The sequence below is a fragment of the Homo sapiens genome, chromosome X, assembly GCF_000001405.40.
Source record: "Homo sapiens chromosome X, GRCh38.p14 Primary Assembly".
Taxonomy (NCBI): Eukaryota; Metazoa; Chordata; class Mammalia; order Primates; family Hominidae; genus Homo; species Homo sapiens.
The window spans coordinates 107158892-107181171 of NC_000023.11; the positions used below are offsets into that span (position 1 = coordinate 107158892).

The 22280-nt window shown below is 36.7% G+C and overlaps 1 protein-coding gene across 3 annotated transcripts in view; it reads right to left on the reverse strand.

Moving 5' to 3' along the window:
* The window catches only part of NUP62CL (nucleoporin 62 C-terminal like), an 83007-nt gene that overhangs the window by 35465 nt on the left and 25262 nt on the right, over positions 1-22280 (reverse strand). For all 3 annotated transcript variants that reach the window (NR_033676.2, NM_001433614.1, NM_017681.3), the window contains 2 exons: positions 16198-16302; positions 8758-8893 (listed from right to left, as the gene is read on the reverse strand). Coding sequence is in view for 2 of the 3 variants with exons in the window: in NM_001433614.1 (NP_001420543.1) it covers positions 8758-8893; positions 16198-16255 (194 nt within the window). In the remaining variant the exon portion in view is untranslated. The remainder of the gene's footprint in view (positions 1-8757; positions 8894-16197; positions 16303-22280) is intronic.

Consider the following 22280-nt stretch of genomic DNA (forward strand, 5'->3'; position numbering starts at 1 on the left):
TAAAGAAAAAAAGAGAGAAGAATCAAATATACACAATAAAAAATGATAAAGGGGATATCACCACCGATCCCACAGAAATACAAACTACCATCAGAGAATACTACAAACACCTCTACGCAAATAAACTAGAAAATCTAGAAGAAATGGATACATTCCTCGACACATACACTCTCCCAAGACTAAACCAGGAAGAAGTTGAATCTCTGAATAGACCAATAACAGGAGCTGAAATTGTGGCAATAATCAAGAGTTTACCAACCAAAAAGAGTCCAGGACCAGATGGATTCACAGCCGAATTCTACCAGAGGTACAAGGAGGAACTGGTACCATTCCTTCTGAAACTATTCCAATCAATAGAAAAAGAGGGAATCCTCCCTAACTCATTTTATGAGGCCAGCATCATTCTGATACCAAAGCCGGGCAGAGACACAACCAAAAAAGAGAATTTTAGACCAATATCCTTGATGAACATTGATGCAAAAATCCTCAATAAAATACTGGCAAACCGAATCCAGCAGCACATCAAAAAGCTTATCCACCATGATCAAGTGGGCTTCATCCCTGGGATGCAAGGCTGGTTCAATATACACAAATCAATAAATGTAATCCAGCATATAAACAGAGCCAAAGACAAAAATCACATGATTATCTCAATAGATGCAGAAAAAGCCTTTGACAAAATTCAACAACCCTTCATGCTAAAAACTCTCAATAAATTAGGTATTGATGGGACGTATTTCAAAATAATAAGAGCTATCTATGACAAACCCACAGCCAATATCATACTGAATGGGCAAAAACTGGAAGCATTCCCTTTGAAAACTGGCACAAGACAGGGATGCCCTCTCTCACTGCTCCTATTCAACATAGTGTTGGAAGTTCTGGCCAGGGCAATCAGGCAGGAGAAGGAAATAAAGGGTATTCAATTAGGAAAAGAGGAAGTCAAATTGTCCCTGTTTGCAGACGACATGATTGTTTATCTAGAAAACCCCATTGTCTCAGCCCAAAATCTCCTTAAGCTAATAAGCAACTTCAGCAAAGTCTCAGGATACAAAATCAATGTACAAAAATCACAAGTATTCCTATACACCAACAACAGACAAACAGAGAGCCAAATCATGAGTGAACTCCCATTCACAATTGCTTCAAAGAGAATAAAATACCTAGGAATCCAACTTACAAGGGATGTGAAGGACCTCTTCAAGGAGAACTACAAACCACTGCTCAAGGAAATAAAAGAGGATACAAACAAATGGAAGAACATTCCATGCTCATGGGTAGGAAGAATCAATATCGTGAAAATGGCCATACTGCCCAAGGTAATTTACAGATTCAATGCCATCCCCATCAAGCTACCAATGACTTTCTTCACAGAATTGGAAAAAACGACTTTAAAGTTCATATGGAACCAAAAAAGAGCCCGCATCACCAAGTCAATCCTAAGCCAAAAGAAAAAGCTGGAGGCATCACACTACCTGACTTCAAACTATACTACAAGGCTACAGTAACCAAAACAGCATGGTACTGGTACCAAAACAGAGATATAGATCAATGGAACAGAACAGAGCCCTCAGAAATAACGCCGCATACCTACAACTACCTGATCTTTGACAAATCTGAGAAAAACAAGCAATGGGGAAAGGATTTCCTATTTAATAAATGGTGCTGGGAAAACTGGCTAGCCATATGTAGAAAGCTGAAACCGGATCCCTTCCTTACACCTTATACAAAAATCAATTCAAGATGGATTAAAGATTTAAACGTTAGACCTAAAACCATAAAAACCCTAGAAGGAAACCTAGGCATTACCATTCAGGACATAGGCGTGGGCAAGGACTTCATGTCCAAAACACCAAAAGCAATGGCAACCAAAGCCAAAATTGACAAATGGGATCTAATTAAACTAAAGAGCTTCTGCACAGTGGGGGAAACTACCATCAGAGTGAACAGGCAACCTACAACATGGGAGAAAATTTTCGCAACCTACTCATCTGACAAAGGGCTAATATCCAGAATCTACAATGAACTCAAACAAATTTACAAGAAAAAAACAAACAACCCCATCAAAAAGTGGGCGAGGGACATGAACAGACACTTCTCAAAAGAAGACATTTATGCAGCCAACAGACACATGAAAAAATGCTCATCATCACTGGCCATCAGAGAAATGCAAATCAAAACCACTATGAGATATCATCTCACACCAGTTAGAATGGCAATCATTGAAAAGTCAGGAAACAACAGGTGCTGGAGAGGATGTGGAGAAATAGGAACACTTTTACACTGTTGGTGGGACTGTAAACTAGTTCAACCATTGTGGAAGTCAGTGTGGCGATTCCTCAGGGATCTAGAACTAGAAATACCATTTGACCCAGCCATCCCATTACTGGGTATATACCCAAATGACTATAAATCACGCTGCTATAAAGACACATGCACACGTATGTTTATTGCGGCATTATTCACAATAGCAAAGACTTGGAACCAACCCAAATGTCCAACAATGATAGACTGGATCAAGAAAATGTGGCACATATACACCATGGAATACTATGCAGCCATAAAAAATGATGAGTTCATGTCCTTTGTAGGGACATGGATGAAATTGGAAACCATCATTCTCAGTAAACTATCGCAAGAACAAAAAACCAAACACCGCATATTCTCACTCATAGGTGGGAATTGAACAATGAGATCACATGGACACAGGAAGGGGAATATCACACTCTGGGGACTGTGGTGGGGAGGGGGGAGGGATAGCATTGGGAGATATACCTAATGCTAGATGATGAGTTAGTGGGTGCAGCGCACCAGCATGGCACACGTATACATATGTAACTAACCTGCACAATGTGCACATGTACCCTAAAACTTAAAGTATAATTTAAAAAAAATAATAATAATAATAGTAATAATAATAAAAAAAATTTAAAAAAAATGAAAAAAAAATTACCTATCATATCAAAACCGAGAAAACCCACAACTTGAAAGAGAAAAGGCAACAGATGCCAACACTGAGAGGTATCAGATGTTGGAATTATCTGAAAATAATTTTAAAGCGACCATCAAAAAAAGGCTCAAACAAGCCATTTCAAATTTTCTTAAAACAAATGAAAAAAACAGAAAATCTCAGCAAAGAAATAGAAAGTATGAAAAACAACCAAATGAAACGTATAGAACTGAAATGTAAAATAACCGAAATAACAAGCTCACCTAAGGAATTTGATAACAGAATGGAGTCAACAGAGGATAGAATAAGAAAACTTGATGACAGACAAATATAATTTACAGAAAACAAAGAAAAACTTCGCAGAAACAAATGAAAAATGTCTCAAGGACTTGGAAGACAATAATAAAAGCAGTAACATTTGTATAATAAGAGCTCCAGAAAGAGAGGAAAGAGAGAATGGGACTGAAAAACGTATTTAAAAAAAAAGATTGAAAACTCTCAAAGTTTGTGAAAAGATATAAACTCATAGATTCAAGAAGCTGGACAAATCCCAAAGAGAATAACTCAAATCCACGCTAAGACACAAAATAATTAAACTTCTGAAAACTAAAGACAAAGAAAAAAAAATCTTGAAAGCAACCAGAAAGAAAAAAATGCATTACTTAAAAGGGAGTATCAGTTTAGATGACACCAGATTTCTCGTCTAAAACCATGCAGGCTTCAAGCACTGAATGAAAAAAAGTGTCAACAATGACTTCTGTATCTGGTGAAAATGTCCTTCAGAAATGAAGGGGGAGATAAAGATATTCTCACACAAAGTCAATTCAAGATAATTTGTTGCTAGTAAACCTACCCTTGAAGATTAAACAGAAAGGAAATGAAAACAGAAGACTTGGAACATCATATAAAGCAGCGATCCCCAACCCTTTTGGCACCAGGAACTGGTTTTGTGGAAGACAATTTTTCCACAGATGGCGGGAGGGGCCTGGGGGAGGATCATCAGGCATTAGATTCTCATCAGGAGCGCACAACCTAGATCCCTTGCATGTGTAGTTTACTATAGGGTTCACGCTCCTATGAGAATCTAATGTCTGATCTGACAGGAGGCGGAGCTCAGGCAGTAATGCACGCTCACCTGCTGCTCACCTCTTGCTGTGTGGTCCGGTTCCTAACAGGCTACAGAGCAGTACTGGTCTTCAGCCCAGGGGTTGAGGACCCCTGATATAAAGTAAGGAATATCAAAATGGGTATAGACAAGGTAAATATACTATTCTACTTCTCGTTTCTCAGATCATTTGATGGCTGAAGTAAAAATTATAACCCCATGTGATGTGATATTCAATGTACACAGAAGAAATGGCTGAGACAACCATACTTAAAAGCTAAGAAGGGTAAAAGGAACTAAATGGAATTAAGGTTTCTGCACTTCACCCAAACACTGTAGTGGTATGACTACACTGTTGTAAGTAATGCATGTATCTGTAATACCTAGAGCAACCAGTAATAAAACTATACAAAATAATGTATTTAAAAACACTATAAACAGAACAAGATGAAACCCCCCCAAAATACTCAAACAACTGACAGCAGGGTAAAAAAAAGAAAGAGAAGAACAAAAATCAGAGGCAACAAACAAATAAAATGGCAGATTTAAGCTCTAACATGTGAATAGTTACCTTAAATATAAATGTGCTAAACATACCAATTAAAATACAGAGAGTGGAAGAGTGAATAAAAAATGATCCAACAATATACCGTCTATAAGAAATTCACTTCAAATACAAGGATATATTAATACATAGTTTGAAAGTAAAAGAATGGAAAGAATGTACCATGCAAGGTTCATTTTTTTAAAAAGAAATGGCTATATTAATATCAGATAAAGTGGACTACAGAACAAAGAAAATTACTAGAACCAAAGAGAGACATTACAGAGTGATAAAGGAATCAAGGCATCCAGAAGGCTAGCAATCCTAAATGTATAGGTGACCAAACAAGAAAGCCTCAAAATACATGAAATAAAAACTGATAGAGCTAAAGGGAGAAATAGAGAAATCCACAATTAAAGGCGGAGATTTCAAAAAGCCACTCTCCACAACTGAAAGAACTACTAGACAGAAAGACTCCAATAACACAGTATCTGAAATTACAGTGAAGCAACAGAATTTAATTAACATATATAGAACATTCCACCCTGCAGCAGAAAACACAATTTTCAAATGTCCATGGAACATTCATCAAGACAGACTGTATCCTCACCCACAAAACAAACCTAAATAAATTTAAAAGAACTAAAATCGTACAAAGCATATTCTAATACCACAATGGGATCAAAGTAGCGATCAATACAGAAAAAACAACAAGAAAATCTCCAAACACTTGGAAATTAAACAACACACTTCTAAATAATAAATTAGTCAAAGAAGGATTCACAAAGGAAATTTAAGAAGTATATAGAGCTGAATGAAATCACAATATAACATAATATGTAGGTCACAGTTAAGGAAGTGTTGAGTTGGGTATTTATAGCACTAAATGTGTACGTTAAAAAATAGGAAAAATCTCAAATCAATAGTCTGAGTTCATACCTCAACGAACTAGAAAAAGAGCAAAATGAACTCAGTGCAATCAGAAGGAAGGAAATAATAGAGTAGATATCAAGTGAAATTGAAAACATGAAAAGAATAGAAAATGATTAATTAAACAAAAGCTGGCTCTTTGGGAAGCGATCGATAAAATTGATAAAAGAAAGACACAAACCACTAACATCAGAAATGAAACAGGAATATCCCTACAGCCATTAAAAGGACAATAATGGAATACTATGAACTACTTTATTTTTAACAATATAAAAAATGGGCCAACTCTTTAAAAACAATACATTCATCAAAGATGAACTAGATAACCTGAATAGTTCTAGAACCACTAAAGAAATTGATTTGTAATTTAAAAGCCCCTTTAGCCTAAAAGCCCCTTTAGCTGGGCGCAGTGGCTCACGCCTGTAATCCCAGCACTTTGGGAGGCCCAGACGGGAGGATCACGAAGTCAGGAGTTCGAGACCAGCCTGGCTAACACGGTGAAACCCCGTCTCTACTAAAAATACAAAAAAATTAACTGGGCGTGGTGGCGGGTGCCTGCAGTCCCAGCTACTCAGGAGGCTGAGGCAGGAGAATGGCGTGAACCTGGGAGGCGGAGCTTGCAGTGAGCCGAGATCGTGCCACTGCACTCCAGCCTGGGCGACAGAGCGAGACTCCGTCTCAAACAAACAAACAAACAAACAAACAAAACAAAAAAACAAAAAACAAAGATTAGCTGGACGTGGTGGCGGGAGCTTGTAATCCCAGCTACTCAGGAGGCCTCGGCTGAGGCAGGAGAATCACTTGAACCTGGGAGGTGGAGGATGCAGTGAGCTAAGATCTTGACACTGCACTCTAGCCTGGGCGTCACAGTGAGACTCTGTCTCAAAAAAAAAAATAATAATAATAAATTAATTAATAAATAAATACCCCTTTAAAAGAAAGATACAGGCCGAGAAGTTTTCGCTAGAGAATTCTGCCAACATTTTATGAATTAACATTAATTTTACACTATTTCTTTTAGAAAACAGAAAACAGAATACTTTCCAGATCATTTTATAGAGCCAATGTTACCCTGATATCAAAACTAGAGACATAAAAAAAGACGAAAACTACAGACTAATATCTCTCATGAACTTAGATACAAAAGTCCTCAAACAAAATACCAGGAAACCAAATTTTTAAAAATGTACCAAAAAATTATACACCATGATCAAGTGGGATTTATTCCACATATGCAGGGCTGGTTGAACATCTGAAAATCAATCAGTGTAATCTACCACTTCACCAAGATAAAGAAACAAAATCTTAAGACTATCAATTGAGGCTGAAAAAGCATTTGACACAAATTGATTTTTGACAAAGGTGCAAAAGCAATTCAGGGGGGAAGATAGTCTTTCAATAAATGATGTTGGAAAAACTCGACATCCACAGACAAAAAAAAATTAATCTTGACCTAAACCTCACACCTTATATAAAAATTGACTCCAGTTGGATCACAAGCTCAAATGTAAAATGTGAAACTATAAAACTTTTAGAAAAACACAGAAGAAAAAGAAAATCTTTGGGATCTAGGGCTAAGAAAAGATTTCTTATAATTGACACTAAAAGCACAATTCATTAAAAGAAAATGTGATAAACTGTAACTCATTAATTAAAGGTTTTGATACAGCAAAAGGACCCTGTTAAGAGGATGAAAAGCCAAGTTACACAGTTAAAGAATATACTTATGAGCCACATATCTGACAAAAGACTGGCATCTAGAGTACATAACAAACTCTGAAAACCAAACAGTAAAAAAATCAAATAATCCAAGTAGAAAATGGACAAAAGATATGAACAGACATTTCACCAAAGAGGATCTACTGATGGCAAATAAACATGTGAAAAGACGTTCAACATCATTAGTCATCAGGGAAATGCAAATTAAAACCATAATGAGATATCACTTCACATCTGTCAGAAGGGCTCAAATAAAAAGTAGTGACAACACCAAATCCTGGCAAGAATGCAGACAATCTGGATCACCCATACATTGCTAGTGGGCATGTAAAATGGCACAGTACTCTGGAAAAGAATTTGACAGTTTCTTAAAAAACAAAACAAACAAAAAACATGTAACCACCATACCACCCGACAACTGCACTCCTAGGCATTTATCCCACAGAAATACTTATATTCATAATAAACATGTACATCAATGTTCACACCAGCTTTTTTCATAATATCCAAAAAACTGGAAACAACCTATATGTCCATCAACAGGTGAATGGTTAAACAAACCATGGTGCATCCACAATACCATGGAATACTACTCAGAAATAAAAAAGAACAAACTGTTGATGCACACGACAACTTGGGTGGATCACAAGGAATTATGCTGAATAAAAAAATCCAATCCCCAAAGGTCACATATATATGACTCTATCTGTACAACACTCTTGAAATGTCAAGATTATAGAAATAGAGAACATTAATTGTTGCTCAGGGTCAAGGAAAGGAGGGGAGTGGGTGTGGCTATACAAGGGTAACAGGAGGAATCCTTGTAGTGATAAAACTGTTCTGTATTTTGACTGTAGCAATATCAATATCTTGGTTGTGATATTATACTGTAGTACTGTTGAGATGTTATCATTGGAGGAAATGATATAAAGACCATACAGAATGTTGTGTATTATTTCTTACATATACATGTGACTCTACAATTATCCCAAAATAAAAAGCTTAATTTAAAAAATGAACAAATACTAGAGAGAAACATCATATACAGGCTCCAGAGCTTGACTGTCTGAATTTTAATCCTGGCTCAACCATTAACAAGTATGCGACTATGAGCAGATTATAAAATCTCTATATGCTCTTGTTTTCTCACCTATAAAATGAAAATGAAAATACTGCCTACCTCATAGGGTTACTGTGAGGATAAATGACATGATGCTTGTAATGCATTGTCATCTTGCTAAACATACACAGATTACATACACAGTAATTGCACAATAAGTGGTAGCTATTATTAGTAATAGTAATGATTCTATTATAATGATATTCAGAAGGTAAAGGTGTGCTGCTGTTTATTCAACTTCCTAAGCTACAGAAATCTTTCTCTTGACTGTTCCCTCAACTCAGTCATTTAGCTAACTTTCAAATATTATTCTAAAGTTATCCAAGCAAATGTCTTGTACATGATAAATAAAATGAAACACATGCAAGTTTTTAAATAAATAGGCTTACCTAACAGTTGAAGTATAAGGTACAAGGTTTTCAAACCCTCTTGATAACAGTTGGTTTTGGTTCACAGTAAAGCCACTGGTGATTGTGGTAGTAGTGTTGGTGGTGAAAGTGGCGGTGGTAGTCGTTGAAGTTGTAACTGGAAAATAAAGTGTATAATGTTAGTAAGAAATGAGAAATTTGTTTCATTTAAGCCTTGATCATTCAGATTTAAAATTATGGAGGCATTTTTAAAAATACAAATTTGAACTCAAAGATGCAGATTTGAATTCAACACTGTTGTAATATGAAATAATAAATGGCAGGCCAGGTACCTGGATTAACTTTCCAGCTGAAAATCCTGGATAAATTCATAGAAAAATAAAACTTCTAACCAGCCCAATAACCATGAAAGAAATCAAATCAATCCTCAAAATTCTTCTCATAAAGGAAACTCCAGTCCCAGATGCCACTGCTGGTAAGTTTTATGAAACTTTCAAGAAAAGAATAATTGCAATTTACAAAAGATCTCTGTACATCTATATCTTTGCATATTTACATGACTGTATCTGTGTAATTAATTCCTAGAAATAAAATTTCTAGATCAAAGTGTCAGCATGCTCTAAATTTTAACATAACTTGCCAAATTGCCCTATCTAAACAATTTTGCCAATTTATGTCCCTATCAATAGGAAAGAGTGCCTATTTCTTTATACCACAGCCAATACTAGGCATGCATTTTTGCAAACCCTAGTCAAAAGCCTCTCAAAGCTTTATCTACAGCCCAGACTCTCTCCTATATGTCTTTTTCTGTTACACCCCTATTAGAATGTCCTGCTCTCTATAGATAAAATCCTAAGTATACTTCATGGCTTGACTCAAATTCTTTGTTCCCCATATTTATCACCCACTTCTCTCCTACTCATAGTTTCCTTTGGTTTTCTAAATTTCTGCAGCACTTTTGGTTCTTACTACACACTGAGCACTTAATGAACAAGGCACAGAAAATTGTGGCTGCTAGGGCATTGGGAAGGTTTTATTTTCTTCTTTTTGGTTCTCTGCATTTTCAAATGTTCTTACAACTAGTAAATGCTGCTTCTGTAACAAGAAATATGTTATGAAAATATAACGTACATGATTGTTTGTTTTATGTTAGCTTTGCTTTCCCAATTAGCAATAGTTTCAGGTTAATGGCCACACTGGATAAATGCATAAACCATGGTGCCTGCTGCAAGCACTGACTACTCTGAGGGAGGCTGGCCTGAGGGAACATTCCTGCTGAGGGAACAAGCTCAAATACCCATTCTTTGTTCCAGATAACTCTGTCCTTTTTGTTCCTGGTTCAAAGTTGACTGGGCAGGATGGCCAACTGAAGGATGGGAAGCCATCCAATGTACTACTAGCAGCCTACCTGAGGGTCTGGCACAAAAAGCTCTAGTGAAACAGGATTAATATGAGTCAGAATTTCATTTTCAAAAATTTAGCAATACGGAAAAATCTGACTCTAGGCAGATACTGGGAAATATTTCCAAAAGTATAGAAGGAATCCAACTATAGGCAAAAAGACTTGATAGGACTGACAGAAGAAGGAGATGAAGTAGAAGTAAGGGACCATGAGCAAGTCACAATTAAGAATAAGGTACAGCAGGAAGGCAGAGAAAGAGGTAAGGAAACCAATGAGAAATTTAAAAAAAGAAAAAAGTAGACAAAGGGAGAATAACCGAATTATGTATATGCAATGTTTGATTTGGGAGGTCCCTAAAGCTGCCTTAAGAATAATCTTAAGTTCCAATTTCCTTAAGGTAACAGTGTCGTGGCAATGACTTTACTTGAATTCCACAAGACTCCATTTCCTTTTTGGCCACAAAGGTTCTTATGATAATTCCCCATTCTTTATGTTAGCCCTTGTGAGGGTAAAATGTGCACCACAGAGGAAGACCATGCCCAATCACAAAGAAGCCCAGGAGTCACTATGGTTAGAACAGTGGAGAGATTACAGATTGGATCTTGTGTGATATTCTTTACAACCATAAGTCATCATTTTATTCATCTGAGAACAAAAATCTTACCTGAAAGGAAAACCTTCCTCACAAATGCTAAAAATTAATGATAATGCCAATAGACTCCCTTTATTGATTAATTCAACCAAACACTGAGTAACTACTGCATTCAAGACAGAAAGAAATTTTTTTTTTAAAAAAATGAGCCCTTCTTGTAAAGGAGAATATCTTCACCCAAAGATGGTTTTCTAATAAAGTAATCTGTACTTCCTAACATGGATAGATATTCAAAGATATATAATTGGCTAGGCATGGTGGCTCACACCTGTAATCCCAGCACTTTGGGAGGCCGAGGCAGGTATATCACTGGAGGTCAGGAGTTTGAGACGAGCCTGGCCAACATGGTGAAACCCCATCTCTACTAAAAATACAAAAATCAGCCAGATGTGGTGCACACCTGTAATCCCAGCTACCCAGGAGGCTAAGTGAGCGACAGAGCGAGATTCTGTCTCAAAAAAAATAAAAGAAAAAGAAAAAAAAAAAAGATGTGTACTTAAGAGGAAACAGCAAATTCTAAGAATGTGTACACACACACACACACAGAGTATGGTACCATTTTTATAAAACAAATTTAATGTATGTATATGCTTAGAAAAATGTCTAAAAAGATAAACTGTTCTCTCTAGAGGGAGTGATATGTATATATGCATGTACGAATTGTTTTTACCTATAAGCAGCCCAAACATAAAGGAATCCTGAGTCATTTTAAAATGGTATGATTATTTTAACTTTTTTTTTTTTTTTTTGAGATGGAGTCTCGCTCTGTCACCCAGGCTAGAGTGCAGTGGCACAATCTTGGCTCACTGCAACCTCCACCACCTGGGTTCAAGTGATTCTCCTGCCTCAGCCTCCCGAGTAGCTGGGACTACAGGCATGTGCCACCACGCCTGGCTAATTTTTTGTATTTTTAGTACAGACGGGGTTTCACTGTGTTAGCCAGGATGGTCTTGATCTCCTGACCTCGTGATCCACCTGCCTCGGCCTCCCAAAGTGCTAGGATTACAGGCATGAGCCGCCACACCCGGCCTATTTTAACTTTTTGTACAGTTTTATTTTTGTTATCTTTCATGCTATTTTTAAAGGCATAAATTAACTCTGGCATATTCAAATAATATTTCAATTAATACCAAATAAAGGAATGGGTTTGAAAGTTCTATCACAGTCTGATTTTGCAAATTACAACTTTGGTCTTAACCAGTTAATACAGTCAATCCTACAATATCTGTGTAGTAAAAGGGAAGTATGGTTCTAAAAATAATACAAAAAACTACACACTAAATTTGAACTCACATTTAAAAAATAATGAAAATAGCCTTTAAAATATTCTACTATCAAATTTTCCTATCCTGTCCCTGATCAACAACTATACATCTCAATCCATGCTGGAAATGGACATCATCACCTTCCCAAACTATAAAAATCAAATTTCTCTTAAAATTTGCTGATTATATCTAGGGCAGACAGTAATCCCAAATGGCTGTAAATCTACAGATACAGATGCTTGAAAGCTGCTCTGCAAGACTGGTTAGTGAGATGAAGAATCTGAATAAGTAAATACACTTGAAGAGAAAGAAAGGTAAGTAGGGGGAAGAAAACACCCCAAATTGGGGCTGTCAGGTTGAGACATACCTAATGGGGAGAAGGGTAAGTGCTTAAGGTCCTGGTGGGTGAAATGGTGTGTATTAGTCTGTTCTCATGCTGCTAATAAAGACATACCTGAGGCTGGATAGTTTATAAAGGAAAGAGGTTTAATTGACTCACAGTTTCACATGGCTGGGGAGGCCTCAAAATCATGACAAAAAGTGAATGAGGAGCAAAGTCACATCTTACATGGTGACAGGCAAGAGAGCTTGTGTAAGGGAACTCCCTTTTATAAAACCATCATATCTTGTGAGACTTATTCACTATCACAAGAACAATATGAGAAAGACCTGTCCCCATGATTCAGTTACCTCTCACCAGGTCTCTCCCACAACACATGGGAATTATGGGAGGTACAATTCAAGATGAGATTTGGGTGAGGACATAGCCAAACCATATCATGGTGCTAAGGGATGGGCTAGTGGCAAAAGTAGTATTTGTAGGAAGGAATTTGAGACTTATATAGATAAGGGCTGGGTATGACAGCATCATCAAAGAGGCTGCCCATTCATATTTCAGTGATTCAACCCATGACTAAAAGAATCAGGGTTTTTTTTTGGTCATTGTTTTATGGGGAAATGTGTTACATTTTTTGCAAATATGGTAACTTGTAATGTTCTTATGACACACCCTTCACAAGTCTCATACATTGGCCAGTTAGTCTACTAAACAGTAGAAACTCATAAGGTCATGTAAAAGAAGAAATAAAAAGATGAGGCCAGGTGTGGTGCCTCAAGCCTACAAGCTGAGCACTTTGGGAGGCCAAGGTGGGAGGATAGCTTGAGCCCAGGAGTTTGAGACCAGCCTGGACAATGTAGTGAGACCTCATCTCTACTAAAAAAAAAAAAAAAAAAATCAGTTGGTCATGGTGGTGCATGCCTGCAGTCCCAGGTACTCAGAAGGCTGAGGTGGGAGGATCACTTGAATCCAGGAGATTAGGCTGCAGTCAGCTATAATCACGCCACTGCACTCTAACCTGGGTGACAAAGTAAGACTGTATCTTAAAAAAAAAGGGAGGGATGATATACATGTCTGTTTAGGAATAATTATTTTAAGCTTAAACGGGATTGACTTTTAGTTTAAGCCAGATTAAAACAGATTCATTTAATCCCTAAGTAAACTTCTTACAGTAAAAACAAACAAGACTTCTCCAAAATGGAGTCTAACTTAAAAGACAGGTTTGAGTAGATGACCCCTTACCACCCAGCTCTAATAGCTACGGGCAATGGATAACCAAGTTTTCTTCCATCTACAGCCTAACTAGCTCCTAACTGGCAGAAACAAATTTAGAATAGGTCTAGGGAAACTCCTATAACCAACTTTAGAAGAGGGCCAACTTCAATAGAGGTCAAAACTTAAATTAACTTTTAGAGAAAAAAAAAACTTTATCAGTCTCAACCAGCTAAATACTGTGATCAATAACGAAAATTCTTAAGTTTGATGGTTGGCAAGAATTTGGCAGCTGTTTTGCCTGTAGTCATCTCAAAGAAGTAGCATCATTGATATCAACTGTCTCATTGTACTCTTTGGCAATCATCTACATAAACATATTGGTGTACCTTTTGGATACTCTGATGAGATGGTCAAAACCACTTAGCCCTAAAAGCCATAGAACCTACTTACTGCTTGTTATGAAGCACATTTCCAATGAGACCCCCAAGACATCCTGATAATTCTAAAATCTTACTAACTGCAGTAGGAGCTGCTCCACCTGCTCCAGGGAATTTTAATGCAAATCCCAAGGTTATAATATCAAGTGTTCTAGCCGAAGTTGTTGGAGCACCAACTGCAGAGAACAACATAATATTAACTATTACCCTTTAAATCAAAAACAGTGAGAAATTTATATAGTCTTTTTCATCTGAAGAGTCCTTTAGAAACTTTTGGTTAAACTTCAAAAAACCATGGTCAAACCATTTACATGAAATGTCCAGAAAAGGCAAATATATGGAGATGGAAAACAGATTAGTGGTTGTCTGTGGCTGAGGGATCTTACTGCAATGATGGAAATGCTCTAAAACTAAATACAGTGATGGTTACACAATTCGATAAACTTACTAAAATTTCTGGATTGCATACTTAAAGTGAGTTAATTTTATGATGTGTAAGTTATAATTCATTAAAGTTAATTAAAAGATATTGTGGTCCCAATATCTTTTCATTTTGTAGACAAGGACATCAGAGGGAGAAAAGTGGGGGAACCTGTCAAAGGTCAGAGAGCAAGTTTTGACTGAACATGGAATTAATTCAATAATTTTAACTCCAAACCTTGGACATGGTCATATTCATGAAATCTATCACAGTTGAGAAGGATACTGCTTACATATATCAAAATGATTCCAGAATCATAGTCATGTCTCAAAATTGAAGTCTAAGTGGTAGAAAACATAATTCATGTGGTAACCAATCTTAACTAATGCCTAACTATGCCAATAACACAAGAGGATGGTGATGGTTAATTGAGCACTATTCATGCTCAATTAAGCATCAAACATTTTCTGGCTAGTTGTATTCCCAGGAATGGAGACAATCTTACTGTCATAGAGCTGGGGAGGGGGGCTATTACAGCTAGGATTACAACAAAATTTAATGATGAACATTATGATATTGTGAAGAAGAAACCTTGAAAGAAGTCAGTTTATAGAGGCCTGTAAGAAAAAATTGCCTAAGACATACAAAATTCAGTATTTTCTTTTCTTTTTTTTCTTTCTTTCTCTCTCTCTCTCTCTCCCTCCCTCCCTCCCTCTCTCTCTCTCCCTCCCTCCCTTTCTCTCTCTCTCCCTCCCTCCCTCTCTCTCCCCCTCTCTCTCTTTCTTTCTTCCTTTCCTTTTTTTTTTTTTTGGTTTGACAGGGTGTTACTCCGTCACCCAGGCTGGAGTGCAGTGGTGCAATCTTGGCTCACTGCAGCCTTGACCTCCTGGGCTCAAGCAATCCTCCCACCTAAGCCTCCCCAGTAGCTGGGACTACAGGCATGCACCACTATGTCCGGCAAATTTTTGTATTTTTTTGTAGAGACAGGGTTTCACCACATTGCCCAGGCTGTTCTCAAACTCCTGGGCTCAAGCAATCCACCTGCCATGGCCTCCCAAAATGCTAGGATTACAGGCATAAGCCACTGAGCCTGGCCTGAATTCAATATTGTCAACATTTGCTATTACTATACTAATGGAAAATGTGTAACAAAGAAGTTGGGGTTACGAGATAATGTCTCACCTCTTAGCTCAAAGCATCCAGATAGATGGTCCTCTTCAGGTGGAGAGGTCACAAGACATTACACAATGTCAATTAGAACCCCAAAACTACAGCTGGCCCTTTGTCATGTTCCACTTCTGATAGGTAAAATGTAAGGACCACAAACCAGGTCGGTATCAGAAAACACACTATAGCAAGGCTCCTACATTTATTTCCCATTTTATCTTAGTCACATGGATAAGGACTTCTTCCCTTCAGAAATACTTGGCAAAACTCCCACTCTCCCTTCTGTTAATAGCTTCAAGGAGTTGTTTCAATGCATCACAATATTAATGAATTATATGCTTAAAGTTAGCATTTTAAGCTATAATAACCATGTTAATATAAAAAATTCACAGCTAAAGCCATGAGAATTAGGTTCTTAAGCAAAGCTACTATTGATATCAGCAATTATAAATGGGTTCAAGAATAATGATAATTTCTGAGACAGAGATCTGTAGCATATACTGGCAAACTGAGTAAGGTGGCATCATGGGAAATAACAGTATTTTCTTTAGAATTAGTAACTTACATGAGAGCCCAATAGCAGCAGTGGAGGTCAAAGAATTTGATATTGAGGTAAACTGCATGGTGCTTGAACTAGTGGTGGTGGCAACAGCAGCTGCTGGAGCCAAACCTAAAAATCAAAGTAACAAACAGAAAAATATGTCACTAAAAATAATTTTTAAAAGTAAAACAACATTATGACAAGGTTCATTAATATGGAGAAATAAAAACAAAGCAAGGAAAAGCAGGTATCCTGAAACCTAATCAATAAGACAGAGTAAAAGCTTGATTTAAAAAACAGTTCATTGGTACTACTTTAGTATAGTCAGTCTTCTAGCACCATCATAACAAAGAAATTCTACTTTACTGAAAAAGAAGTCCTAAGAGGGGGGATCCACTTCCAGAACTGCAGCATAAAAAGTCCCATGGACCTGTTCCCAAGTAAATCCATAACCAGCAAAAAGTTCCAGCAAAAAGTTACTTTTTTTTCTTTAAATCGGAAATGGCTGGAAATTGTTTTAAGACCCCAGAGCAAATGAAGAAACATTTATTCAAGAAAATCTACTAAAACTCAGTAATGTAACAGTGACAGTCAATGGCATATGAGCCACAAGGCACTCCTTTCCTTTCACCGTCCCCTTGTCTACCTTGATGGAAGCTACTCTCTAGGGAGGGGTAGCCAAAACTTTACTCCCTCTGACCCCAGCTCCCAATCAAGGAATAGAGTATCCCAATGGGAGGGAAAGGTAGCCAGCATTTCTTATCACTTCCAACACAGAGTTGAAGGGGTGAAATTCCTGTTCAGTATAGCCAAGAGTTCAGGGGCTCCCTTCCTTTACTCACAGGGTGGAGACTCTACCCCAAGTAGAGAAGGCTGAGAATACTGAGGCCCCAATCACCCTCACCCTGATTATTCCACCCCAGTTTACTTGCAGGGTTAAGGTCCACACCTGAAGAGGTAAGCAAGAAGACCAGTGGCTACTGCTACTGCTCAGTACCCAAAGCACTGGCTGAACGATTCTGCCCAGGGATAAAGGCCATTCATAAGAACAGAGAGCTCCCAAGCCATTCCCCAAATAACTGACTTTATTTGAAACAGAGTGTGAGGACATTCAAGCCCAAAACATTACTATAAAAAATGGAGATTTGGGAGGTAAACAATTAAGAGGAGGCAGGGAGCTTTATGAGAATAACAATTTAGGGTGTAAGTCGGATAGTTTATCAGAGATAACCAGGGAAAAAGAAAGCTGAAAAGGTCCGTCCTGAAATCGGAAGAATTAAGTACTGATGTACGCTACAACATGGATGAATCTTGAAAACATTATGCTAAATGTAAGAAGCCAGACCAAAAAAACAAAACAAAAAGCTTCATATTGTGAAATTCTATTTATATGAAATGTCCAGAATAGACAAATTCATGGACAGAAAGTATATTAATGATTCCCAGGGGCTGGGAGGAATGGGTAATGGGGAGTGACTGCCAATGGGTATAGGGTTTTTTTTTTTGTCGGGGGGGCGATGAAAATGTTCTCAAATTACATAGTGGTGATAGTTGTACACTCTGTGACTATATTAAAAACCACTGGATTGTATACTTAAAACAGTGAATTTTAAGATATGTGAATTATACCTCAATTATGCTATTATTAAAAAAAACACATTATCATCTCAATAGAAGCAGTAAAAGCATTTGATAAAATCCAATACCCTTTCATGGCAGAAACACTCAACAAATTAGGAAGAGAAGGGAGCTTCCTAAACAGGATAAAGGGCACTAATGAATAATCTACAGTAACATCACACTTAATGGAGAAAGACTAAATACTTTCCCACTACCATCAGAAACAAAACAAGGATGTCTGCTCTAGCCACTTCGATTCAACAATACATTGAAAATTCTAGCCAGGACAATAGGCAGGAAAAAGAAATAAAACACATGTGGATTGAAAAGAAAGAAGTAAAACTCTCTATTCATAGATGACATGATCACGAATACAGAAAATTCTAAGAAATAAAAAAAATCTACTAGAACAATAAACAAGTTTTGTAAGGTTGCAGGATACAAGATTAATATATAAAAATAATTACATTTCTCTATTATAACAATGAACAATACAAAATGAAAGAAATTAAGAATATAATTCCATTTATGATTGCTCAAAAGGAAATACTTAAGGACAATTTTTAAATTACATAATGTACACAAAAATATGAAACATCATTGGAAGAAATTAAAGATGTTCTAAAGGATCTCATGTTTATAGATCAAAAGACTTAATATTGTTAAGATGGTGTGATAGACAGAAAACCAGTCCCCAAAGATGGCCTAATACCCAGAACTTGTGAACATATCGCCTTACTTGATAAAAGGGATTTTACAGATGGGATTAAGGTTAAAAACCTTGAGATTATCCTGAATTATCCAAGTGAGAAAATTTAATGACCCCAATCCCTTAAAGCAGAGAACCTTTCCAGGATGTGGTCAGAGGCAGATGTGACTGCAAGAGAATGGTCAGAAAGATACAAAATTGCTGATACAAATGGCCAACAAAGCACATGAAAACATGCTCACTATCCTCAGTCATTAGGGAATTGCAAATCAAAGCCACAATGAGATACTACATTATACCCATTAGGATGGCTATAATCAAAAAGATAGATCAAGTGTTGATGAGGATCCTGTTGGAAATGTAAAATTCTGTACCTCTTTGGAAAACTGTCTGGCATTTCCTCAATGCGCTAACATAGTGTTACCGTATGATCCAGCAATTTTACTCTTAGGGATACATATATATGCCAAAAAGAGATGAAACATATATCCACACAAAAACATATATGTGAATATTCATAGCAGTATTATTCAAAATAGACAAAAGGTAGAAACAATCCAAATGCCTATTAACTGATGAATGGATGAATAAAATACAGCATATCCAAGCAATAAAATTGTACTTGCCATAAAAGGAAAAGTACCACGCTACCATATGAATGAGCTTTGACAGCATGCTAAGTGAAAGAAGCTAGTCACAAAAGACTGAATAATATATTATTCCATTTATAAAAAATATATGATTCCATTACAGAGACAAAATGTAGATTAGTGGTTGCCAAAGACTGGGGAAAAGGAGGAATGGGCAATGACTGCTAATGAGTAGAGAGTTTCTTTTGGGGATGATGAAAATATTCTAATACGGCCTGTTGTAATGGTTGCATAGCTCTGTGAACCACTGAACTGTACATTTTAAATGGCTGTACAGTATGTAAAGAATAAATGAAGGTCTGGAATAAATTTTCAGAAAACAGATTACCTGCCTCTTTAAAAAGAAAACTATAAGGATAAATTAATGCATAGTGACACAAATAAGATAGAGTTACTTGAAAGCAAAGTTCATATCTTTTCATCCTCACTGCAGATCAATGCACATGGCACATAATAGTAATTGTTCAATAAATGTTTCTGCTGAATTGAACCAACTTTTTCTAGACTCTAACACATAATTACAGATATTCTATTTCACCTTTAAAAGGAAAAAGGTGCTTAATAAGTAACTGTACTTGCACCTATTATTGCCTGCATTCAACTGTCATGGTGACAAATGATGTAAGATTCTGCTATCCAAAACATCTAGGTCCTCTGGGGGTGAAAGAAACAGAAAGGAGATGTGGGGAAGGAATTGGAAACTTTACCACATACAAAAGCTACTTAAAATTTACACAGTGCAATATCCCTATGTTTCATTTAGGAGAAGAACCATATGTACACTTTTAAAGAAATAACCAATTGTACTTTGGGAGGCTGAGGCAGGAGGATACAGGTCAAGAGATAGAGACCATCCTGGCCAACATGGTGAAACCCCGTCTCTACTAAAAATAAAAAAAAAATGAGCTGGGTGTGGTAGTACACCCTTGCAGTCCCAGCTACTCAGAAGGCTGAGGCAGGAGAATCGCTTGAAACCAGGAGGCGGAGGTTGCACTGAGCCGAGATCGTACCACCGCACTCCAGCCTGGCAACAAAGCAAGACTCCATCTCAAAAAAAAAAAAGAAAAGAAAAGAAATAACCAATTGTATAGCAAAGGCATTTATATTTACAATTCATTACCTATCTGAGAGGTTGAATTTTTAATATGGGTTTCATTGCTACTTCAATTTTTTCATTTGAAATTGCCTATTCATGTCATCTGCCCATTTTCACATCAAAGAATACTGTCTTATTACTGATATTTTTAAATTTTATTTTAAAGTTACATAGATATATTGCATAATAGTGGGGGTTGGGCTTCTAGTGTACCCATCACCCAAATAGTGAACACAGTACCCAATAGGTAATTTTTCAACCTTTACCCCTACCCCCAACTCTCTCCTTTTGGAGTCCCTAGTGTTTATTATTTTCATTTTAATGTCCATGTGTACCTACCGTTTAGCTCCCACTTATACATGAGAACATGCAATATTTGATTGTCTGTTTCTGAGTTACTTCACTTAGGCCTCTGGCTCCATCCATGATATCACAAACGATATGATTTCATTCTTTTTATGGCTGCATAGTCCAATCAACCACTTATGGACATTGAGGTTGATTTCATGACTTTGCCATTGTGAACAGTGCTGCAATAAACATGTAAGTGCAAGTGTCTTTTTTATATACTGGTTTCTTTTCCTTTGTATAGATACCCAGCGTGGAATTGCTAAGTCAAAAGGTGGTTCTATTTTTAATTCTCTGAGAAATCTCCATATTGTTTTCCATAGAAATTGAGACAATTTATACTCCTACCAACACTATTACTGATTTTTAATAAAAGTGTATATCAAGGCTATTTATTTTGTCATATGTTGCAATAATTCCTCTACCCCAGTTTGCCATTCAGTTTTTATTTTATTTTTATGTAGTCAAATCTTTCCATCATTTTTTCTCTCTGTCTATGTCTCTATATAATAGTCTATGTCTTCATATCATGTTTAAAAAGACTTTTCTCTTAAACATATGAAAAGGTGTTCAACCTCATTTTTAAGAGAAAATTGCAAATTATAACTACATTGAGAATAATTTCATTTAACGAATGACAATAAGTCAAAAACTAAACACACTCTGTTAAGGACACTATAAAGAAGCAGGCAGCCTCACAGATTCCAAATGGGGGGATAAATTGGTACAACTATGGGAAACAACTGGTCAATGTTTTAAAAATTACAAATGCATCTATCTTTTGAACCCGCAATACTTTTTCTGGAAATTTAGCCACAAAAATATACTTGAATACCTGTAAAATGACATGTAAAATGATATCCATTGCATCACTGTTTGTATTAGTAAAGGATTATGTAAACAACCCAAATGGCCATCAGCAAGGGACTGGATATATAAATTATAGCACATCCAGAGCATGGAATACTACGATCCTATAAAAAATACTGAGGAAAAACATACTGAAGTTCTCTATGTACTGACTAATGTGAAAACATTCCAAATGTGTAAAATAAGCACATAAAGTTTTTAAGTAAGGTACAGAATACAAGTTAAAAAGCAAGGTACAGAATAGTGTCTAGAGTATACCATTTATATCAAAAAAGGCAGAGGACTAATATGTATTTTTATTTCTCAACAAACTCATGAAGAAGCTCTGGAAAGACATACGCAATTACAGTGGTTAACTGAGTATGGGAAAGGGGCAGGGGTAATAAAGATGCAGATGGGGAATAATATACCTATTTATGCTATTTATAGTTTTATTTTTGAATCATTTGACTATGTTATTTTAAACTCCTATAGAAATGCTTATCTCCTCAACTCCAGAAATATTATTTACATATTTTCATATTCACCTATGCTTTAAAAAAATTTATGGTTTCGCTTTTTTTTTTTTTTTTTTTGAGGTGGAGTCTCGCTTTGTCACCCAGTTGGAGTGGTGCAGTGGCACGATCTCGGCTTACTGCAACCTCCGCCTCCTGGGTTCAAGTGATTCTCCTGCCTCAGCCTCCCTAGTAGCTGGGACTACAGGCATGCATCACAACGCCCAACTTTTTTTTTTTTTTCTGTAGTGACGAGGTTTCACCATGTTGGCCAGGCTGGTCTTGAACTCCTGACCTCAAGTGATCCACCCACCTCGCCC